A 22,641-nucleotide genomic window follows, 5' to 3' on the forward strand; every position below is an offset into this window, starting at 1 on the left:
ACACATTGTTACGGGTTGCTTCTTGCAGAACTCCTGGACCTGGATGCTGCCATTGGGCCTGCGATGCCCGCCATGGTCCTGGTCAGCATTGGGCCCTCCGATCATCTTGCCCTGCCTCCTGCCTTTCCCCTGCATGCTCCCTTGATGCCCATCCTGAGTCTCTGTGTGTCTGGCTCTTCTCTGCTCTTGGGCACTCAGGGCTCCTTCCATTTGCCCTGTACTAAGGGGCTGATAGAGGTCCTTTCTGTGGCCTGTGGCCCCCTCTGGGGCCTGTGGTCATCATTCCACAGCTCCCACTTCGCAGTCAAGCACAGGGAGCTCTGGGGTGCCGCTTAGACACCCCATGCCACCCTGTTTCTTCTGGGATCTGGCTCCTTTCTTGGGGTTCTACCTGGGATGGGGGTATGAGTCCCACTGCTTCGGAATCTCCCAGCCTCTGGGGATTCTACTATCTCCCAGTGCAGGCAGCACTGTGATGGGCACTGGATGGTCGTTATTTTACAACCACCCCATGTGCAAGAGATTATTACTGTCATTTTACACACCAGGAAATGGGGTCCAGCGAGGGGGGTGCTGGAGTAGCCAAGGCTGGTGCGAAACAGTACCCAGGCCTGGGCTACCTGTGCTGAGAGGCAGATGGCCAGTGCCAGGGCCGGGTGTTACAGGCTGGCGGAAGCCTGGAGGCACCTGGAGCCTCTTCTGGGCTGACCCGCACCCCTTGCTGCCATTTGGCAGGAGTGCTCTGGGGTTGGAGCAAGGGAGTATGAGGCTCCTCCATATAGCCCTGCTGCCCCCAGATAGCAGCAGCCCCCACCCCAACCCCATTCCTTTCCCTCTACCGCCCAGAGGCAAGTGCAGATCCTGACCAGTGTGGCCTTGCTGTAGGGATGTTTCTTAACTGCTTCATGCTTCTGTTTCTCCACTGAGAGGGGAGTTCCAGATGGCTGTTAGGAGGGTGACGTGAGCAGAACACATCATCTGGGCAGTGCCTGCACAGCCAGCGCCACTGAGGAGCAGGTGGGGTCATCAGCCTGAGTAGAGCTGGAGCAGCCCTGGGGAGAGAGAGTGCTAAGAATATTGGTACCCCCACTTCATAGGTTGGAAAACTGACTGGGCAAGCCCTTTAAAGCCACACAGTGGGTAGATGGCAGAGCTGGGCCTGGAACCAGGCCCCCAACCACCCCCAGACCTTTAGCCTTGCCCCGTGTTGCCACACTGCCTCCGTGGGGAGCAGATTCCTTGGGGTCCTTGGCTGTCATTGTACTTGTCATCCAGGGCAGGAGGGGTCCGCTGGGCCACTAACAGTTACATATACCAACATATACAGGATAGCACAGCCCAAGGTTAAGAGCCCCAGTCTCATACCCAATGCCTCCCATAAACAGATTCACTGGGTGACCTCATGTAAGGTCATCATTCAGTCTCAGTTTCCTCCAGCATCACTCAAGCGATGGTTACCACGATTATACATGGCCACGAGTTCACGAGTGTGGATGCTGTCACTGCCTCAGGCCGGCTGCATCCTCAAAGCCACACAGGTCAGCCAGGTTGGGTGGGCCTGAGTGCACAAGAGCTACCATTTTTTCAGTCCTCTGTGCTGGTACCACGACTGTTTGGAAGGTAGGAACTCCTATTGTCAACATTTTCCAGCAGACGGTGGCTCAGAGGCATTGAGTCACTGCGAGATTGCGCACCTGCCCCATGGCAGGCCTGGGCTGAGGTCTGCCTGCACTTGGAGCCGTGCCCTTCCCACCGCACCAGGCTGCCTTTTGAAGGCTGGGGGGCTAGGCGTGGCGGGGGCCACTGTCCTGCTGCAGTGTGAACACAAGGGTGCTGGGAATCGAAGGGAATGGGGAGGGAGAGGGGCAGGTGGCCGTGAGGGGCAGGTGGTGGGTATTGGGTGGAGGTGGCTGTGTTCCTTCAAGTCAGTGGGTGAAAGGTCAGAGGGCTTGGCCCACAGAGAGTGCTGAGCAAATATTTGTGGAGAGATAATTTTCTGGAAGGCCCGAGGCTGGGGCATGGGGTCAGGTTCTGGCTGTGGAGGAGGGGGCTAGACAGGTGAGGCCATGGGCAGCGAGCTGGGGGCAGGAGCAGGACTCTGGTCTCTGAGAAGAACTCAGGAGCCTCCTTACTCCAGGAGACAATATGGGGGCAGTGAGAGCTGGCAGGAAAATGTCGAGACTCGGGGAAGGGGGCTTGTGAGTGCTGAGCCAAAAAGGGCTCTGGCCCTGGGGCTGGGCTGGGGTGTCAGGTGGGGCAGGCAGAGGTGGGGTGATGGAGTCTCTGCCTGCATCTGGTACCTGGAGTGTGTGGACCCACCTGTGTGGTTGCAGGTGCCTGTCAGTGTGTGCACCTGTACCTACCTGCGTGTATGTCCCTGTGGTGGCGCTGGCGCTTGGTATCTATAGTCATTCAGCCACACGAGCTTTTCCCTGTGTTTCTCAGCCTGGAAAAGACAATTCCTCTCCCCCTGAACCTCAGGCCCACCTTGGGCTCATGCCTGGCTCCTCTCTTTCTCTCATTCCACATCCCATCCACAAGCACAGCCTTGTTAGTCCATCAAATGAGACCCCAAATGTAATGCTCTCACCACCTGGGTCCAAACCACTAGGCTTACCTGGACTATTGCAGCAGCCTCCAAGCTGCCCTTCTGCTGCCTCTCCTGCTCCTTAATGGTCTAACAGGGGCCAGAGTGATCTTTTACAAAAACATGTGAATGTATATATATATATTTATACATATACACACACGTGCATATACACATATATAAAAATATGTATTTTTTTTTAGAGACAGGGTCTTGCTATATTGTCCAGTCTGGTCTCAAACTCCTGGCCTCAAGTGATTCTCCTGCCTCAGGTTCCTGCATAGCTGGGATTATAGGCATAAGCCACTGTGCACAGCTCAGAGTGAACTTTTAAAACCATATTCTTTTTTTTTTTTTAAAGACGATGTCTCACTGTGTTGCCCAGGCTGGAGTGCAATGGTTTGATCTTGGCTCACTGCAACCTCCGCCTCCTGGGTTCAAGCGATTCTTCTGCCTCAGCCTCCCGAGTAGCTGGGATTACAGGCATTCACCACCTTGCCTGGCTAATTTTTTTTTGTATTTTTAGTAGAGATGGGGTTTCACCATGTTGGCCAGGCTAGTTTTGAACTCCTGACCTCAAGTAATTCACCCGCCTCGGCCTCCCAAAGTGCTGGGATTACAGGTGTGAGTACCACACCCAGCCTTAAAACCATATTCTAAATCAAATCATGTCTCTCCCCTGCTTTCAACCTCAGGGCTTCCTGCCATACTTAGGAAAGTTTCCAAACTCCTAGCACAACCCACAAGGCTCCTTCCTGGTCTTGCGTCAGACCCCTCTGCACTTCGGTCATGGAACTCCAGACTCATTGGTCGGCTGGTTTCCTCTTCTGCGTTTGCTCAGACCTCAGGGCCTTTGCATTTGCTCTCTTCTCTGTCTTGCATGTTCTTCCTCCCAGATAAACATGTGGTTCTCACCTCAATTAATTCAGATCTCTACATAAATGTCACCTCCTTGGAGAAGGCTTCCCTGACCCTGAAATCTAATGAAACTTCCTCGTCCCTCTGTTTCCTTACCCTGCCTTATTTTTTCTTCATTTTACTTATTACCAGCTGCCAATTATAAATGTGTATGTATTTAGCTCTTATTTATTTATTTTTGTCACCCAGGCTGGAGTGCATTGGCGTGATCTCGGCTCACTGCAACCTCTGCCTCCTGGGCTCAAGCGATTCTCCTGCCTCAGTCTCCCAAGCAAATACAGGCCTGGCACGGAGGCTCATACCCACCACTTTGGGAGGCTGAAGTGGGCGGATCACCTGAGGTCAGGAGTTTGAGACCAGTCTAGCCAACATTACAAAACCCCATCTCTACTAAAAATACAAAAATTAGCTGAGCGTGGTGGTGCATACCTGTAATCCCACTTACTCAAGAGGCTGAGGCAGGAGAATCGCTTGAGCCTGGGAGGCGGAAGTTACAGTGAGCCAAGATTGCACAACTTCACTCCAGCCTGGGCAAAGGAGTGGGACTATGTCTCAGAAAAAAAGAAAAGTTTCAAACATACACAAAAGTAGAGAAACGAATATAACAGAACCCCACATGCCCACCTCTTGGCTCCAACAATTCTCAACACTGGGTCCCTATTTTACTCCCCCACACCCTTTGCCTTCCGGTGGACTCCAGCATCACACAGTCTCATGTGTGGATACTTCAGTTCAAAGGTTATATTTTAAATGTAGCTGTTTCTGGTCTGTCTCCCTCAGTAGAAAGCAGCTTTCTGGGGAGTTGGTGTCTGTCTGTCTTGCTCACTGCTGTATCTCCAGCTCCGGCACAGTGCCTGGCTCCCAGTAGGTGACTGAGGAGGTCTGCATGGCTGTGTCTGCAGGTCTCTGGGGAGGGCATGTGTGTAGGTGCTGGTTTGCACATGTCCACCACCGTGTCAGCGAGTGTCTGCACATGCCTTTATGCGCAGCTGCATGTGGCAGTCCTGTGGATACGTGTGCATGTGTACGTTGCCACAGCAGCTGATGGCTAAATGCGTGCCTACTCCCTGATGTCATTTCCCACACCCCTGGGGACCCAATGACTCGTTCTGGGAAGTATTTCCCTCTTTCTCAGCAAGGGATGGGGTGTGAAGGGGTGGAAGAGGGGTGTGCACCAGTCTGCTCAGCCCTCTGGAGGACCCAGAGAGCCCCTTCTTGACCTTCCTTACTAGCAGGGCGCCGTGCTGTCCCCACCAGTAGAGCAGGCAGCCTCTTTCTTCCCTGGCATTGAAACCCAGCCAGTTGGGCCGGCATCAGCTGGGTGGGGTGTGGAGTGTGTGTGTATGAGGCGTGGTGGTGGCCCATCCTGGCCAGCTCCAAAGGCTCCTAGGGTGACTGCTGTGTAATTGGGCAACTGAGGCCATTTAAGCTGGGGACAATTGGGTGTAGACATCTGGTCCAGTGCCCCAGCAGTGCCCCCTCTCCCCCCTGCAAGTTCTGCATCTTAAAGGGCTGGCCCTGGAAGGCGGGCAGTGGCGTAAGACCTCGCTCTCAGCCCAGCACCGGGTTCATTCCAGGGGCTCCTTGCTGTCGGGCCAGGAGCTCCACAGTGGCTTCTCAGCCTGCTCTCCAGGGCCCCTTCTTACCCTGGAGGCCAGGGTCCGCGTCCTCTGGCTCTGCATTGTCCTTCCCACCTCCCACCCTGCCTTAGGCTCAGCTCTCCTCCTTCTTCAGGGCCCAGCCCAGACAGCCCCTGTGTTCCAGGAGGGGCCTGCCCCTTCCACCTGGGCAGTCAGGTTCTTTGGGGCTCCTCCCTCTTGGATCCCTGAGGCCAAGACCTCCCCACCATGTAGGCCAGATGGTCCCCACTCACTCCACCCCCAACCTCAGGGAGAGCCTTCCGAATCAGTGAGGTGGGTGTGCAGCAAGGAAGGGCAGAGTGGCACTGCCAGCTGCTCCTACCCAGAACTGGATCCCTTGCTGCACACCTCACTTCACTCCCTGCCACAGCCCAGTGAAGAATGGCCCTGCGTCTCTCTTTGCCAGATGGGGAACACATGCATTCGGCCATCCAAAAGAAGGACTGAGCATTTGTTCGGCACCTACTATGTGTCGGGCACTGAGATAGCTGCCATAAATTATGATAATAACAATAACATCAGCTTCTACCATTTGTCAAGCACCTACAACATGCCAGACCCATATGCTGGGCCATTCAATAGGAGGAACCATCATAACACCAATAATAAGAATGGTCGGCCTGGCATGGTGGCTTTTGCCTGTGATCCCAGCACTTTGGAAAGCAGATGCGGGCATATCACTTGAGGTCAGGAGTTCGAGACCAGCCTGGCCAACATGGTGAAACCGTGCCTCTACTAAAAATACAAAAATTAGCCGGGCATGGTGGTATGCGCCTGTAGTCCCAGCTACTCGGGAGGCTGAGGCAGGAGAATCGCTTGAACCTGGGAAGCGGAGGTTGCAGTGAGCCGAGATCACGCCACTGCACTCCAGCCTGGGCGGCAGAGCGAGACTCCGTATTTTAAAAAAAAAAGCCGGTCACGGTGTCTCACGCCTGTAATCCCAGCCCTTTGGGAGGCCGAGGTGGGTGGATCACGAGGTCAGGAGATCGAGACCATCCTGGCTAACACGGCGAAAACCCGTCTCTACCAAAAAACAGAAAAAAAAATTAGCCAGGCGTGGTGGCGGACGCCTGAAGTCCCAGCTACTCGGGAGGCTGAGGCAGGAGAACGGCGTGAATCTCGGAGGCGGAGCTTGCAGCGAGCCGAGATCGTGCCACTGCACATCTGCCTGGGCGACAGAGTGAGACTCTGTCTCAAAACAAAACAAAACGAACAAAAAAAAAACAAAAAAACGAACAACAACAAAAAAAAGGCCAACATTTATTGAGCATTTACTGTGTGTGAGGGGCTGTTCTAAGAGCTTTGCCTTAACACTGACCCTTTGGAAAGAAACCTTGGTCAGTTATACTGTTTTGGTAGATCTTCATTCAGAGAGAGGGCAGAAGCTGGGCTGGGGCCCTCTGGCCAGACACATAGCATGAATGCTGGAAGGGACAGGAGGAGGGCTTCTAGGCAGAAAGCAGGCACTGAGCTCCCAGGCCTGGCTCAATACTCTCTCGAACCAGTGGTCCCTTCTTGAGTTAGAACAGGTGGGTGGACTTGTACAAGCTCACCAAGTGGACAGTCACTGCCTCTGCCCTCCTTCCTTCAGTTCATGTGTTCTGCCCCCAGACTCTGAGCTTCTCAGGGCAGATTAGGGAGCAGAGGTCCTGGGGCCTTGAACCTTCATGGAGTCCCTGGGCCTTGCCCCAGTTGCTTGTCCAGGTGCAGTACTCACAAGGCAACCTTTTAGCAGGGCTGACTCAGAAGGGGCCTTTCTACCTGAGTCACTGACTTCCAGGAGCGCTCAGGCTCTGCCAGCCTCGCCCACCTGCCCAGCAGCTCTTTAGGTCACCCCAGCACAGGCGCCACCTTCCCCAACAAGACTCAACAAGGCTCCCCTGCCGCAGTCTGGTTCTTGAAGGTCTCTGCCCTGGCCAGCATGTCTGGCATCCCTGGCCCATTGCCTGGCCCCGATGCCTCTCCAGGTGTTGGGCATCCCACTGCTGAGAGACATATCTTTGGCATCTGGAAGTGTTTCAAGCCTCTAGGAGGCCTAGCTCTGCCGGTGAATTGCTTTGTGACTATGGTTGAGTCACACCTCTTCTCTGGGCCCCCTGATTGAATGCACGGTCGTCTGGGTGGGGGAGAGGTGAGGGCATCCGTGGCTCTGCTCTGCCCCTTGCCCCCGAAGGTTGTGATCAAGTGAGCCCTGTGAGTGGTTAGCCCGGCTGGCACAGCGCCCCATGAGCCTGGATGTTCTCAGGAGGGCTGTTGGGCAGGGGGAGGCTGAGTGTAAGGGGGTTTGGGGTCATCTCCTCCTCCTGCCCCACTTAACTTTGCTTCTTTCTGTGGTGAGCCCCCACGTGTGATTTGGTGAACGTGTTCTGCCCATAGCGTTCTGAGATAGACCCTATAGGCAGAACACGTTCAGGCAGAATGACCTCAGGTGTCTGGGTGGGAGGGAGCCACGGGCGAGTCTGAAGGAGGTGTGCAGTGAGCTCTGAAGCATCTGGGAGGGAAAGATTAAATCCACCCGACAGAAACTCAGGGCCTGGGGTCAGGTCAGCCTGGGCCCTAGCAGAGATCTGGGGCCAGAGCAGCCATCGAGAGCCCAGCCAGCAACCCTGGGGGTGAGAGGAGCAGGGGAGCCAGAGTGGGAACCCAGGAGAGGTCTGGGTAGGATGGGTGGTCAGAGGCCTCTTGGCTTGAGGGCATGTCTGAGGGAAGGGGGTGCTGTGTTCTGGCAGTAGATGTTTGCTGGACATCTACTGTGTACCCAGCATGGGCACAGCAGTGGCTAGGCCAGGCTACACACTGCCTTAGTGGAGTGTATAGAATTGAACGATGCCTACTGCAGGGTGTGGGGGTCTGGGGCCTTCACCTGGGCTTTGGCTCAACAACCCAGGAGGGGAGTGGAGTTGGTGGGGGTCCCAAAGGCACTCCCAGCACCAGGATAGCCCACAGGCTGGGGGCCATAGACCAGCATTCCTTCTGTGGACAGGAGAGACAGTGGGGCACCTCTGCGGGACAGAGAGCTCTGGGTGTCCCATGCCCTCCTTCTGACCAGGCCTGGCTGGCAGTGTGACAGGTGGCTTCTTTCCCCTCTCCTGCTGGCTGCCCTGCTCCTCCATGGGGGAGGCCCTGTGCATGACACAGGCACTGACTGGTGACATTGGCCGGACACTTCCCTTCATCTCTTCCCCTGACAGGTGAGACCAGATGGGCAGGGAAGGGACAGGAAGGGAAGGAGCAGCCAGATTACAGAAGGTGGGGTGGTGGGGCTACTGTACTTCCCAGGGCCCCATCTTTGGGAGGTAAGGATGGGAGTAGGCTGTTTCCTGCAGAGCCTCCCCATTGGATCAGATCTGGCTGCTGGTCTTACCCTCCTCTGCTTCCCTCTCTTGTCCTCACTGGAGTCCCCTGGGGAAGGAACCCATGTCAGAACCCATCCCTCCAAACCTGCAGCGGATGTGGGGGTCTTTGCAAGAGTGAGAGCTGAAGTGGAATAGAAAACCCTGGGACAGGGCTCGAGGTCTGACCCCTCTTCCAGCTCAGCCACCAGCTCACTGTATGATCTTGGTCTGGGCCCTGCCTCTCCCATTTTAGTGTCCCCTAATTAAAGGGTGAGGGGAAGACTTCAGTCAGGACTTACACTGTGTCATGTGTCTTCTAATCACCAGGGACCTTGTTAAAACACAGTCTGATTCAGCTACTCTGGGGTAGGGCCTGAGAGTCTTCATTTCCAACAAGCTCCCAGGTAATGCCGGTGCTGCCAGTTCATGGACTCCACTTTGAGCAGCAAAGACTTAGGCAACTCATTGCATTTGAGTCTGCAAGACCCAGAGACTGTGTCTCTTGGGTCCTTTGCAATCTCACGAGGCATCAGAAGGAAGCCTTGGGATTAGCTCCAGGCTCTGGACTAACAGAGCACGGATCTCAGGTTGGCAGGCAGGGGAACTATCCTAGTCCCCTGCTGAGGCTGTGTTTGGGTAAAAAAGTCCTTCTTGGCAACTGGGCGATTTAATCCAGGGTTGCTTCTGTCTCTAGGGGCTCACAGGACATCTGGAACATGAAGGAACACAACACAACCCACCAATTATCTTGGTGGCCACAGAGGGCCCTCCAAGGAGCTGATGCCCTTTGTGAGGCTAGTAGCCATCAGTTAAATACTGTAATCCATTACACTGAGAATAGAAATGTAACCAGGATGTAGCTGAACATGCCCAGCTTTAGCTGCCATGTGGCTGGGCCTTCCATGGAAAGGACCAGCCTTCTCTAAGGAGAGGAGGAAGCAGACAGAGGCAGTGAGCCCTCCCACTCTGCGCTTCCCCTCACTGGCCTGCTCACACCGCTGGGTGAAGGCACATGTCAGGGTTAGGTAGTTATTCAATGGTATGCCTGCGGCTCTTCAGGAAGGGCTGATTGGATTCCTATCTACATCTTCCACTGCATTTTTGGCACAAAATGCTCTGGCTATTGCCTGACCAATCTTAGCGGTAACTCCACAGGGATGGCGTTACCTATGAGAGGCCCTAGGGTCGGAGTGGAGCTGTGTAGAGGAGCCCAGCGGGTCTGGTTCTCTACCTTGGTCCCAACTATTTACCAGGGCTTCCCGACATCTTACGGCCAGGAATGGGAGATCCAACCAGAGAGGTCTGGAGTTCTGCCCAGGAAGAACCTCCACCTCTTTGAGATCTGGAATCTTCAGGGCCTGGAGGAAGATGCCAGCAGCCCTGGCAGTTCTCATTGGTCAGGGGAGGTCGGTGTGGGGTGGCAGAAGCACTTCTCTGGCTTCCTATTGGGGGATGAGTGTGCAAGCTCAGTGGGCTCCCTGGCTGCCAGAGCAATCTGCTTAAAGGACTGGCTTCTAGGATGCAGGGAAGGGCTCAGAGGGAGCCCCTTCTCTAGCACCTGAGAGACTAAGCCACTTAGGGTGGTGGGCAGGGTTTCTAAGCTGGGGTCCTGGGGATCTGGGCCCCTCTGGCAACTCCTACCCTGTCCCCTTCCCCCACCAGTGGGCTCACTTTGCAATTCTGCTGATGTCAGCTTGAGTGCCTTAATGGGCAGAAAATCCTGACTCCTTTGCCCGACTAGGCTAGCTGGGACTGCAGGGGGCCCCAGGTAAGGAGCATATACTTCTGAAATTTGTGTGTGCCCCCGCGTATGCGTTTGTGTCTTAGGTAGGTAGGTATTTATCTCTGTGTTGTGTGTCTGAAGGTCATGCATGAGCCTGTGTTCATATACACAATGGCGTGCACAAAGGCACATTATGGATTTGTGTATGTTTGTTTGTGTGGAGAGGGTCAGGAGCTCCCAGACATTCCTGAACACTTGCACATGGGTTGGCTGTTATCTCCAGCGCCTGGGAGGAACTGGCTCCTTAAAGGAGGGGGATGGTGAGTTACTTTGTAAAGTGGAGACAAGCCCCTTAAGCCCTGGGGAAAGGGATTTACATAAACCAAGGTCCCACGTTTAGGTTGGGTTCTCAGCTCTGGTGTGCCCATGAAAGACCCTCTCCCAGGTCCTAGCAGAGCTGCTGGCACAGTGCCCTGGGTGCCAGCCCACTGTCCTGCATGGGCTCAGAGGAGCTGGAACGGTGTCAGCTGGTGCCAGCTCCCTGGGGGCAGGGCAGGCCGGGCCAGGCTATGTGAACAGAGTGTGTCCTCAGTCCTCTGGGGGAAATCGGAGACCAGGCCAGATCCTGCCTGCTGGGTCTCTCACCCTCTTCTCAGCTTACACTTCCAGGGAAACTGGTCACCCTGGGTAGAGACTTGCTCCAGATATCAGGGCCCTGAGGCTCCAGCCTGAGCTCCTGGGAGGGGATGTGGTGTAGAGACACCCTTGGCCAGGCCCCTGCCTCAGGCTGGCCTGGGGCGCCAGAGAGACCAGGCTTGTAGAAGGAACGGAGCAGGCTCACGCGGAGCCCTGTGCACGGTGAGCTCAGGGTGCAGAGGGATCTCTGGGGCCCTGGTCACCCTCCCTGGGGAGTCCTGCTTTTCAGTGTGGCAAGAAGCGCCTTGCTGTGTGACAGCCCTCTTCCCCTCCCTGACTCTTAGTCTCCCCTGGGTCCTCTGGGGGCCCTAACAGCAGGATGTACCTGGCCTCCTGCCCGAAGCCTCTCAGAGTGGAGGAGGACCTAGGAGGCTGGACACTGAGATGCGAGAGGCGTCATAGGAGGGGCGGTCCAGGGGCAGGGTGGGGAGGAGACTTCTCTTGCTCATTCCTGGTTCAAATGTTTCAGATGTTGGGATGCAGGGAAGAGGTGACTCTGGTCCCCAGATGCAGGTCAGCTGCCAGAGGCTGGCCAGGGCTTCCCACCCACTGACCCTGGCTGCACTCAGAGGCCTCTCACATTTCTCTTCCTCTCTTCAGTCTACTGTCAGGGCCAGGCATATCCCCTGGGACCCAGAATCTGTCTCCATTGCCCCCAACCCTGCGACACCCTCAAGAGAGGTCTAGAGGGTGGTGACTCAGTAACTCAGAGAGGGCCTTCTGGAGATGCCGCGGCCTCAGAACCCCTCTGTAACCCAATGCTGGCCTCTCAGGCCACGTGCGGGGATGCCTGGCTTTTCTGAATCCTTGCTGCTTCCTCTGGCTTTGAGAAGCAGCACACTTGGTCCTCCTGTTGGGAGGGTGGACACCAGCAGAAGCCTTCCTTGTAAAAGTTTCTAGGAGGCACCTGTGGTGGTTCTCCTCCCCCTCCCCCTTGGTACCATGTCCCAGCCTTGGGATCCCCAAGTCCCCCCACTCCCTTCACTTTGCTGCTGCAACCCCTTGAGAGGTGGCTGGGGAAGGACAGGGGTATGGAGGTCGAAACTCAGGCTAATAAATCTAGGGTGGGGAGCATTTATTTTAATTTTTGTCTTGCAGCTCTTTGTAGAGGACCTAGCCTTTCTCTACTGAACTGAAGGGGTTTGGTCCCATCACCCGAAGACTGGCCCACCTGCCCACACAGGTGGGGGCACAGGAGGTCTGGGAGGCCCCAGGAGGTGGAAGTTCAGAGGCCTGCCTGGCCCTGTCCATCCCACTGGCTGAGGCCAGGCCGGAGGGCCGACCCCAGGGGCCCTCTGTATGCAAGCCGACGCAGACAAGGGCCCAGTGCATAGTTAAGACACAAACACCACACAGCTGTCCAGAGCCTCCAAAGCACTGTTTATCCAGGCTCCATGGAACCAAGTGCCCCCAGCTGCCTGCCCTAGTCCTCAGGGGGGCACTGGCACCGCAGTGGCCTCGGCCTGAGACCCTCGATGAGCCCCAGCCTAACCTGCTCCAAAGCCACTGACACATGCATGTTTAGCCCTTGGCCCATCAAGATGGGGCCCTGGGAATGAACTGGCTGCAGACCCTCCTCCATCCCACACCCCCAGGGGCTCCATCAGTCCTGGCTAGCTCAGCACCATGTTAAATAGCTTCCTTGCAATCTCCCTTAAATAAACCCATCCCCAGAGCAACCTACCCACCCTGCACCCTGAATATATTATCCTATTGGCTTATGCCTTCTAGACTGGAGGCGCTCTCTCCTCTTGCCCTCTACTCCAGGGGATACCATCTCCCTAAAAAACCAGGGGAGGAAGTTTTTTTCTCAACTCTGGGGCAGAGACAAAGGGTGGCCTGGGTTGGAGTGGAAAAGCCAGGAATAGCTTCCTCTGTCCCTTCCCTCCCCAGGGTACTTCCTTCTCCTTGCCCTCTTAGCAGCCTGGGTCAGGCGCGACTTACCCAAGGTCACAGACCCAGGACCCAGAGTCATGACCCATGTAGGAGGTTACCCTGGTTTTGACAGCCCAAACCAGCTCCAGGGCAGGAGGACTGAACTTAAGCCTGCCTCCACCTTGGCCCCTGCAGTTCTCCAGGCTCGGAGTGAGCTGAGGGAGGTTCCAGCTCTTGACTCCACTCTGTCCCGGACCCCTGGGACTATCTCCCAGGACCCTCCACCCCTGGTGTCTCCAGGTCTCTCTTGCTCTGGGGATACTCAGACAGCACCAGGCATGGAAGCAATGGGGCCCGGGACATGGGCAAGCCTGTCCCTGGCCCGATCAGCATCTGGGCCCAGGCCAGGCCTCACACCCAGTACTGGCCATTCTTAAGGGCAGGGTTGGGTGTCCGGCAGAACTGCAGCAGCTCTGGGTCAGGCTGGCCTCCTGGAGGGGGCCCCTGGCCAGGCACAGCTGTGAGCGGGATGGCCTGGCCTGGCTCCACCTTGCGAAAGGTCTCGGTGTCACCAGCCAGGCCGTTGCGGGGCTTGGCAGTCAGGACCTGGACGTCATGCTTGCCCGTCTTGTTGCGTTTTCGGAGGTAGAAGAGCAGGGGCAGGATGAGCGCCAGGAGCAGAAGTACCAGGCACATGGGGATGATGACGCTGAACATGTTGGCCTCAAGGAAGCTCAGGAAGCCTCCCTTGGCCACAGCGGGCTCAGGGCTGGATGCCATGGGGCCTGGCTCGCCTGTGGGGGTGCTGCTCTCTGGCTTCCCTGCTTCCGTCCGGGCGGCCTCGGGGACACTGAGCAGGGCCACGCTGTAGGGCCGGGCAGCATTGTAAGGCTCAGTGGCAAAGTCCAGGGAGGCCACAGCAGGCGGGACGCCCTGTGCCCACAGCTCCAGAGTGAGACTGTCACCTGCGGGGCCGGGGGCCCTCCCCTCTGGCCTGCCCACCTCCAGCCCCAGCCTCCCGTCCTCAAGGTCCTGCTGAGTGAACTGCTCCACCAGCTGGCTGCCCCCGGGCTCCGTCCTGGCTCGGGGCACGCGGACCACGCGGCCATGCCGGGGTCCCTCCAGGAGGCGGAAGCGCGGCACACTGCCTGTGCGGTTGGCCAGCTCGCCAGCATCTAGGACGGTGGGGTCCAGGCGCAGGGTGGCACCCTGGGGCCATGGCCCACCTGCCCACACATGCAGCAGAGCCCTCACAGTGACGTTCACTACGGCTGATGCATTGACACCCCTAGCCAGTGCCAGGACTCTGAAGTGGTCATGAGAGGAGGAGAAGTTGGTGAAGGCAAAGACCACCTCGCCCTGGTCTATCTGGAATTGGCTGAAGGCCGAGGTGGGCCGCCCGCCCACCAGGAGATGCCCATACTGGGGTCCCTGGATGAGGCGGTATGCTGCCTCTGGCTCCTCCCGATCTGAAACCACCCGGAGCTGCTGCTGGCTCAGTGAGGAGCGCCCCAAAGCTTGGGGCACCTCCAGGGGTGCCCGCAGCTGCACCTCGATGGCGGATGGTAGGATGTCCACAGCCAGGGACATGGGCAGGGGTGGGCTGGCCCCATCAGACATGCTCAGCTGGAAGATGCCTGCCACGCTGCTCCCGTTGGCCACGAAGGCCAGCCGCCCTGAATCCACATCGGCTTGCGTGAAGCGGGTCACGGGCCCCAGGCCACCACCCACCAGGCTGAGGAAGCCGTTGTGGGGTGCCCGCTGGACCTCGTACTCAATCTCCCCAGGAGCTGAGTCTGGGTCCACCACACTCAGCTGGGCCCGGGAGATGGGGGCACGAGAGCCTCGGGTGAGCCGGAGTGGGACAGAGGCCTGTGGCTGAGGGGGCCGCTCATTTACATCCCTCACCGTGATGGCAAAGGCCTCTGAGGTTTGGGGTCCAGCCACGGAGGCCCCTGCTGGCCCCTGGAGGTGGGCACGAAAGTGGAAGCCATCCTGCTGGGTGCCCCCACCGCCGTGGGCATACACTAGCTGCCCTGCAGCCAGCTGGGACTGCAGGAAGTGGGGCTGCCCAGCATGGAGGGGCTCCTCGGACACCAACAGCTGGCCCCGGCTGGGGAACTGTGTGACCTGGAAGAGCACATCATGCTCTGAGCGCTGGGGTGATGGAACGCTGGCCAAGAGATTGGAGGCATCCAGAGCAGCCACGGTGATCCTGGCCCGCTGGCCCTCGGGGACCCAGAGACCTGGGGGTGGGACATAGGCTATGAGGGTCCAGCCCACTGAGGGGAGAGTGATGGACCCTCAGCTGGGGGTGCCTCAGGGCAAGGATGTGCCTCCCCCCAACCATCAAGCCAGGTCCTCCAGGGTGGGGCTCAGGGTTCCCAGGAGGATAAGGACTATGTCCCCGCTGTGATGTCAAAGCTTCCCCACTCACCCTCCCTGTGACTTCCCAGGTCCTGGGGGCTGAGACAGGAGCTGCTGACCCTGGCCTCGTGTCCCCTCCTCCTGGGCCTCTCCCATTGTCCCTCCCCACAATCTTGCCAGCTTATCATGCTGTTCACCTTTGTTCTTCCAGAGGTGGCTGGGGCGCTGGGGACAGGCAGCCTCAAAAGACACAGCCACAGCAAGGGTGGCGGCCACGTCCCGGGCAGGCGGCGAGGACAGCTGGAGCTCTAGGGTATCATGGGCCTCCCAAAAGGGCTCGGGGGGCATCTCATGCTCATACAGAATATTCCCAGCGTAGACCTAGGGGAGACACCATCGTGGGGTGAGAGGCAGGTCCAGCCTGTGTTGTCCAGACACTGAGCACTTTTGTCTCCTCAGGCCCCACTCTGGGCTCTCCTGGGTGTGCCCAGGTCTGTGCGTGTGACCCGCTGTCTCCCTCACTAACTCACTGGGTCACATCAGGCAATGCAGTGCAGAGCTGGGCTCTGGAGCCGGAGCCTGGGCTCAAACCCCAACTCTGCCACCCTGGGGAAATCGCCTAATTTCTCTGACCTCTGGGGAATGCAATGATCTGTCTGTGCTGCTCTCTAAAGCGAGTACTTCCTCTTGTGCACAGGATCCTATCCCCTCTTGCCTTCTGAAGACACCACTTCTACTGTCTCTTGGCTTTCTCCTATGGTGTCAGTTCCCCCCAGATGCATCATTCCCTTCATTATGCAACTATGCTATTCTTTTGTCTCACTTACATTAAAGCTATTTAATTAATTATTATTATTATTATTTTGAGACAGGGTCTTGCTCTGTTGCCCAGACTGGACTGCAGTGGCGTGATCATGGCTCACTGCAGCCTCGACCTCCAGGGCTCAAGCGATCCTCCCACCTCAGCTTCCCAAGTAGCGGGGACTGCAGGCACATGCCACCACACCCAGCTATTTTTTTTTATTGTTTGTTGAGACAGGGTCTCACTATGTTGCCCAGGCTGGTCTTGAACTTCTGGGCTCAAGCGGTCCACTTGCCTCGGCCTCCCAGAGTGCTAGGATTACAGGCAGGAGGCACTGCACCTGGCCAGAAAAAACTATTCTTGACTTCACATTTTCCACCAGCTTCACCCCTGCCCCTTTGCTTCTCTTTGCAGCAAAACTTCAAAAAGCATAGTCCACGCTCTCCCCCAGGCATTCTTGGGTCTCTCTACCCAGGATTTTGCTCCCCCATCGCCACATCTCCTTTTGCCAAGGGCACCAGAGGCCTCCGTGTTGTTGGATCCAGCGGTCGGCTCTCAGCCTCCTCTTAACTGCTCAGTGGCACTGGTGCCGCCAAGCAACCCTTCCTCCAAGAGAGCCACAGGCTCTGGGATACTTCACTCTGGGGTTCCTCCTACCTCACAGACTCTCCTGGCTGGTCCTCCTCTTCTCCCCAACATCTTATGGCCAGGTCTCCAGGCTCTTTTCTGTCTACAGGCACTCTCCATGAGTCCTTATTCAGTCTCCTGGCCTCAAATGCCAGCTGTGCTGAGACCCCCTTATTTGTAGCTCCAGCCTAGCCTGCTCTCCCCTGAACCCCAGACTCATGTTTCCAGCTACCTCTGCCGATATCTAATAGACACCTCAAACTCAACCTGCCCCGGCTGCACTCCCGATCGGCCCCCACCTCCTACAGTCATCCTGCTTCAGAGACTATAGCTCCGTTTTCAAGGGCTCAGGCCACACCCTTGGAACCACCCTTGCATCCTCTCTTTCCCTCAAACCACCGCATCTCTCACCTGGATTATCGTAACAGCTTCCTGTGTCCCAGCTGCAGTCCCCCGCCCATTACATTTTGTTCCTAACACAGCAGCCAGAGTGAGCCTTTTGAAAGGGAAGATTATGGGGCTCTTTGGCTCACATAGTGCAGTGTCTCCCCATCTGACCACTAAGGCCTGGCTGTGACCATATCACCCCTGCGACCTCAACTCCCCTCACCTCCACTCCAGACACACCTGCTGTTCTATGGTGCTGCCTGCAGTTCAACACCAAAGAATATTCTTCGCTCCAGGAAGAAAAACGGTTTTCTCCACCTCCAATCACAATGTGTTCTTTTGGCCTATCTTTTGCTCCCCACCCACCCTTTTTTTTGAGACGGAGTCTTGCTCTGTCGCCCAGGCTGGAATGCAGTGGCACGATCTTGGCTCACTGCAACCTCCACCTCCACCTCCCGGGTTCAAGCGATTCCCCTGCCTCAGCCTCCTGAGTAGCTGGGACTATAAATGCGTGCCACCACGCCCAGCTCATTTTTTGTATTTTAGTAGAGATGGGGTTTCACCATGTTAGCCAGGATAGTTTCGATCTCTTGACCTCGTGATCCACCCGCCTTGGCCTCCCAAAGTGCTGGGATTACAGCTGTGAGCCACCGCGCCCGGCCTTATTTTCCCCTTTTAGGAAACACTGGGAACTATTTTCTTCTCAGAGAAAAACAGGACTTGCCCAATAGTAACATGGAAACTTAACAGGGTCTTAACCTGTGAAGACTCTAGGAGCAGAACCCGGAGTAAGGGGGAGCAGGGGCCGGAGTAAGGGGAGCAGGGCCCCGTCTAAGATGGGGCAGGGCCTGGGCTAAGGGAGAGCAGGGCCGGGCTAAGGGGAGGCAGGGCCCAGTCTGAGGTGGGGGCAGGGCCTGGTCTAAGGGGAGCAGAGCCTGGGCTAAAGGGCAGCTGAGCCCAGTCTGAAGGAGAGCCGAGCTATCTGAATAGGGGCTAGCACCTGTTCTAAAGGAAGTGGCTGCTCCCCTGCTTTCGCTGTAAGAGGGAACACAGGCCTTTTAAGAAAATGGGAATCAAGTTTTTTGTTTAATTTCCCAAAGGTTATATGTTGACAATTAACTTCAAAGTATTAGCTGCTTTTTGTAGGCCAAATAAACACGTCTGTGGGCCAGATCTGGCCCAGGACTAGAGTTGCCAGTGGCAACTTCTGGCCCAGGCTGAATGGTGGGCAGGAAGGAAATGGAGCCCCCAGGAGTGGGAGTGGGAGCTGATGCCTGGGTACGGGAGCTCTGTGGGTGGGAGTGAGACAAAAAACAGGGTCTTGAGCTCTGGGGAGCAAGCAGTGTCCTCCAGTGAAGGAAATCCTGGACTCGCAGGCAGAAGTTTTGCCTCTTACTCGCCATGTGCTCTGAATAAAGTTACCTGCCCTCCACGAGCCTGTTTCCTTATCTGAAAAATGGGGACACCTGACCCCTTCCCTGCCCAGTTTAGTGTTGTGGGACAGGGCTGCTGTCAAGACAATACCCAGTCCTGCCCTCCTCCCAGAGTGGGCCAGGGTAGCCCACGTAGCCTCTTCCCTGCTTTCCTGGGTGGCACTGCCAGCCTGACCCCCTGGTGTCCATTCAGTCTAGTCCTTCATATTTCTGGGGCACGGGGAAGCTCTGAGTAACGTGGGACTATAAAGTGCAAGAGGGTTGCTGATGGCCTGGTCCCGTGCCCTCTCCATTCCTGGGCATTCTTGACAAAGGCTCCCAGCAACTGAGGGTACGCAGCAGCTGCAGACACCAGCCTGACAAATATCTCATTGTGGGGAGGGGGCCATAGCAGGAGTGGGGAGCCAGGGAAATACAGAACCTGGGACTGGGAGGTGTTGATGTGAGAAGCCCAAGAAACTTCATTCCACCTGTCAAAGCCACCTCCTTCCAGATGCCCAAATCTGAGCCACTTGCTGGGCAGGGACTTTGCCTTTGCACTTGCTGAATACCATCTGCACCTCTCAGGAGGGAGAGTGCCAGGCTCAGGAGTCCCTGCCGAGCTAGGAAAGGGGGCTGGGGTGGGCTCTGCCATTTTTTGAAGGCTGGCAGGGGGACCCCTCAGGAGGTACTTGGGGCAGTACCATATGCTGTGGCTCCTGAGTGAGAGTCAGCTCTGCGCCCCACAAGACCACTCCCTACCCAGAATTCACTGTCATCATGTGCTGGGTCCAGATGCCCATGCAGCCTCCTGGCGGGAGCATCACATGTGCCGCCTGCCTGGGATGGCCCATGGAAGAGTCTGCCCCGCTCTGCCCTGCTATGGAACAACTCCTGTTCTGTCTTCAGCGAGTGGTGTTCATTTAAGTGATGACTGGGCTGGCCCCCATGGCACAGTTATCACAGAGAGTCTGCTGCTACCCATGGCTGAGAGCTCTAATTCTTCCTGGTGGTCTCTGAAGCCACCAGGACGGATGAACAGCAGCTTCACCCTCTTGGCTGACTCAGCTGCCTTTCATCAGCTCATCTGCCCCTAGGATCCACTCTGCCTCTGGCTGGCACTTGACCTGAGCCCCAGGCTCACACCTCTGCCCACAGGCCCAGCCGCTGCTTCACGTCCAACTCCATCCCCCACCAAGCACTGCCCCTCATCAGCTACTGGGGTACCACTAGTGCCCCCACATGGTGCCCCCTCTCCAGACCCTCGGGTCCGGCTGTAGCTTCCTTCTGGAAGCTATACCCCAAGACCCCAGCCCTGCTCTAGGGCCCTGTATCCCCGACTTTCTGCATCCTTCTCCCTCCTTCTGGGAACATGAACTTGCCCTGCCAGCCTGGCGGCTCCTGGAGGACAGGACACTAGCGCCTGGACAATGGCAGGCCCGGGAACGTCTGCTGCCAGTGATGCTGGAGCTGGCATCCATGTCCACATGATGTCCATGGCACAGCGGCCACCTGAGGCTGGGGGCATCTGAGTGGTGGCTGCAAAGTTGGGCCCTTACCTCTGCCTGAGTGAAGTTCACCAGGGCCTCCCCTGTGCTGTCCTGCTGGGCGTGGAACAGCCGGCCTAGCTGGGGGCCCCGCACCACACGGTAGAGCAGGAGCTGGGGGTCAGTGCCTGCGCTGGAGCTGGCCCTGAGGGTCTGACTGCTGAGTGGCTGGACGGACCCTGCCAGAGGCAAAAGGGGATATCAGATTTTGACTGGGAGCCAGGTCCAGGCCTGTGTTTGCAAAGAGGCAGCGTGACCCTGGCATGCCACCCTCAGCTCCGCCCCAGCTCCTGGCACCCAGGAATGCCCATGATCAGCACACCCACCTGGGCAGACAGTCAGTGTCTGGCTGCCCTTCAGCGAGAGGAGCACTTGCTTCTGGGCCGTCACTCGGAAGAAGTGTCCGGGGGAAGTGTGCTCGCCGTCAGAGAGGCGGAAGCGGAAGCCTCCATCCAGGGTTCCTGGGGACAGGGGCATTGGGTCCAGCTGGCCCGAGCCGGCTCCCCATCTCAGGGCACCCCCGTGGGCAGCAGGAACCCGAGGCCCGGCCCTCAGCACCCACCTCTGTGTGAGAACAGCACGAGCCCGCCGTCCAGCTGGGCCTGCGTGAAGCTGCGCACCTCAGTGCCCGGCGCCCCCCGCAGCACTACCCGCCCGTTGCTGGGCTGCTCGATGGTGTAGACCAGATCCTCAGACCCAGAGTCGCCGTCCGTGCTCCTCAGAGCCTCCGCAGGGATGGGCGCAGTGGCCCCCTCCCACATCTGGGAACACAGGCCTGTGAAGGTTCTGCCTTGCCGCACTCACCCACCCCTTCCTCCCCGGCCCTGGGCTGCCACCAGGGCTCCAGTCCTGCTGCGGCTCAGCCCCTCGGGTGGCATCGAGGCTGGCGCCACTCTGGCTCCCCTGCACAAAGGGCCTCCCGCATTCACCTTCCCTGTCACCCCAGGGAAGGCCCCAGGGAAGGTCACCCTCCAGGCCCAGCCTCCCTGCTCTCCATCTGCCCTAGTCCTGTGTGTCCCTCAAGGCCAGCTTATGTCCCCTACCCAGGAAGGCCCCAGCTCTTACCCTCACCAAGTTCTCACTCCCAGAAACCCCCAGCGCTGACCAACAGTGCTCCCTAATCTGTCTCACTGGTGGGACAGGGGTCTCCTTTCAGAGCCTCCGTGTGTGCCTGGCCGGGGCCGGGCACAGGTGGGAATGGTGATTTTAGAAATGGGCCCTCCTTCCAGCTGAGGGAGGGGTGCGTGGCGCAGAGAGTGGGGGGCTGATGGTTGGCACTGTTCTGCAGCACAGAATCAGCGTGGGATGGGCCCAGGTGCTTCCAGAGCAGTTAGGGGCCCTCCTTATGTTGGGCAAAGGGGACCCCTTTTTCAGGCCTCCCACTTGCAAGCAGAGCAGGTGCCTGTTCCTGAGGTCCTGGTACCAGTCTTGCTGGGTCAATTACTTGCGGGCAGAGCTGCAGTGGGACTCACATGCCCGGAAAACAGAGCCTTCTGGCATTCCTGGGCTTCCTCCCCCGGCCCCAGGGAGCCCTCAGGCCCAGCCCTGGCAGGAGGGGCCATAATGTTGCGGGGCAGGACCCCAGCACTAGGCTTCTGGAGCAAACACAGGTAGATGGCACCACCTGGTGGCTGTGCTGCCACACAGCCGTCCTGGCCTGTGGTTCCAGAGCACTGTGTCCCACTCTTTGGCGGCTTCCGCACCACCAGGCCACCCGCTACGGGCACATCCTAGACCACCAAGGCCCCGCCCCCACCCCCGCCCCAGGCACCCCATGCCAGAGACAGCCCAAGTCAGCCCTTTATGGAAACTTCAGTGGCTCCTGCTGACCGGGGAGGATGCACCCCAGAAGCTGGGGTTCAAAGCCCTGCCATGTGGGCTTTGTAAAGCCATGCCCTTTCTGTTCCACCAGAACTACTTTTGCAACCATGGAGAAGTTCCATCCCACGTCTGGGCCTCAACTTCCACCTGCAGAGTGGGGCCCTTACCTCTGCCTGAGCGAAGTTCACCAGGGCCTTCCCTGCACTGTCCTGCTGGGCGTGGAACAGCCTTGTGCAGGAGTTTGGGGAGCCAAGCCATGGCCTTCACTTGCTGGGTGAAGGTGGGAAACTTAACAGCTTCCGCCCTGATGCCTGCCCTTAAGGGCTTGTAAGTGATTCTGTCAGATGTTCTGGTCCTTAGCCACAGAAGAAGGAACAGCAGAGCCACCCGTGGCCGCTCAGAAGTCTGCCTACCATACTTGCAAACATCCAATAAAAAAACTTCCCACCTGTGTTCTATTTCAGCACAATCTCACTTCTCTCCTTCCAACAACCCCGTGAGGCATGTGGCAGCGTCCCCATTTTGCAGAGGAGGAAACTGAGGATCAGAGCTGGGGGAGCTCTGAGCCGCGAAGTAGGGGACGCTGGCCTCTTTCTCGAAGCAGACATGGGGGTGTTCCCAGGGATGCTCTCACCTGCAGGCCTGTGTTTGTAGTGAGGATGGGGGGTTGGTCATTGACAGGCAGGACAGTGACAGTGAAGGCCACAGGATGGCTCTGGCGATCCATCTCGGAGGCATTAGCCATCAGGACAAAACTGTCTGTCAGTGTCTCGCTCCCGTCATGCACGTAGCGGATCAGCTGCTCTTCCACCTAGGGGCAGGCCCAGGGCTGGCAGTCAGGCCCCAGCAGCACCCTTCATGCCCTGCCTTTGGGTGCAGGAGGAGACTGACTCTTTTAGGGCTT

At 57.4% G+C, this 22,641-nt stretch overlaps 1 protein-coding gene across 2 annotated transcripts in view, besides 2 other annotated features; it reads right to left on the minus strand.

Moving 5' to 3' along the window:
- Positions 11,954 to 12,741: an enhancer, noted in NCBI's record as "H3K4me1 hESC enhancer chr15:75966659-75967446 (GRCh37/hg19 assembly coordinates)". NCBI's record gives its function as "activates a minimal SCP1, AML or CMV promoter by ChIP-STARR-seq in naive H9 embryonic stem cells {active_cell/tissue: H9 hESC(naive)}" and the evidence as "EXISTENCE:reporter gene assay evidence [ECO:0000049][PMID:30033119]".
- Positions 11,958 to 22,641, minus strand: part of CSPG4 (chondroitin sulfate proteoglycan 4) — a 39,145-nt gene continuing 28,461 nt past the window's right edge. For both annotated transcript variants that reach the window (XM_047432196.1, NM_001897.5), the window contains exons 5-10: positions 22,372 to 22,548; positions 20,479 to 20,677; positions 20,243 to 20,377; positions 19,929 to 20,095; positions 15,339 to 15,522; positions 11,958 to 15,020 (exon numbers count right to left, since the gene is read on the minus strand). In XM_047432196.1, coding sequence (XP_047288152.1) covers positions 13,186 to 15,020; positions 15,339 to 15,522; positions 19,929 to 20,095; positions 20,243 to 20,377; positions 20,479 to 20,677; positions 22,372 to 22,548 — 2,697 coding nt within the window. In that variant the 3' untranslated portion in view covers positions 11,958 to 13,185. The remainder of the gene's footprint in view (positions 15,021 to 15,338; positions 15,523 to 19,928; positions 20,096 to 20,242; positions 20,378 to 20,478; positions 20,678 to 22,371; positions 22,549 to 22,641) is intronic.
- Positions 20,093 to 20,937: an enhancer, noted in NCBI's record as "H3K4me1 hESC enhancer chr15:75974798-75975642 (GRCh37/hg19 assembly coordinates)". NCBI's record gives its function as "activates a minimal SCP1, AML or CMV promoter by ChIP-STARR-seq in primed H9 embryonic stem cells {active_cell/tissue: H9 hESC(primed)}" and the evidence as "EXISTENCE:reporter gene assay evidence [ECO:0000049][PMID:30033119]".

Source organism: Homo sapiens, chromosome 15 (assembly GCF_000001405.40).
Source record: "Homo sapiens chromosome 15, GRCh38.p14 Primary Assembly".
Taxonomy (NCBI): Eukaryota; Metazoa; Chordata; class Mammalia; order Primates; family Hominidae; genus Homo; species Homo sapiens.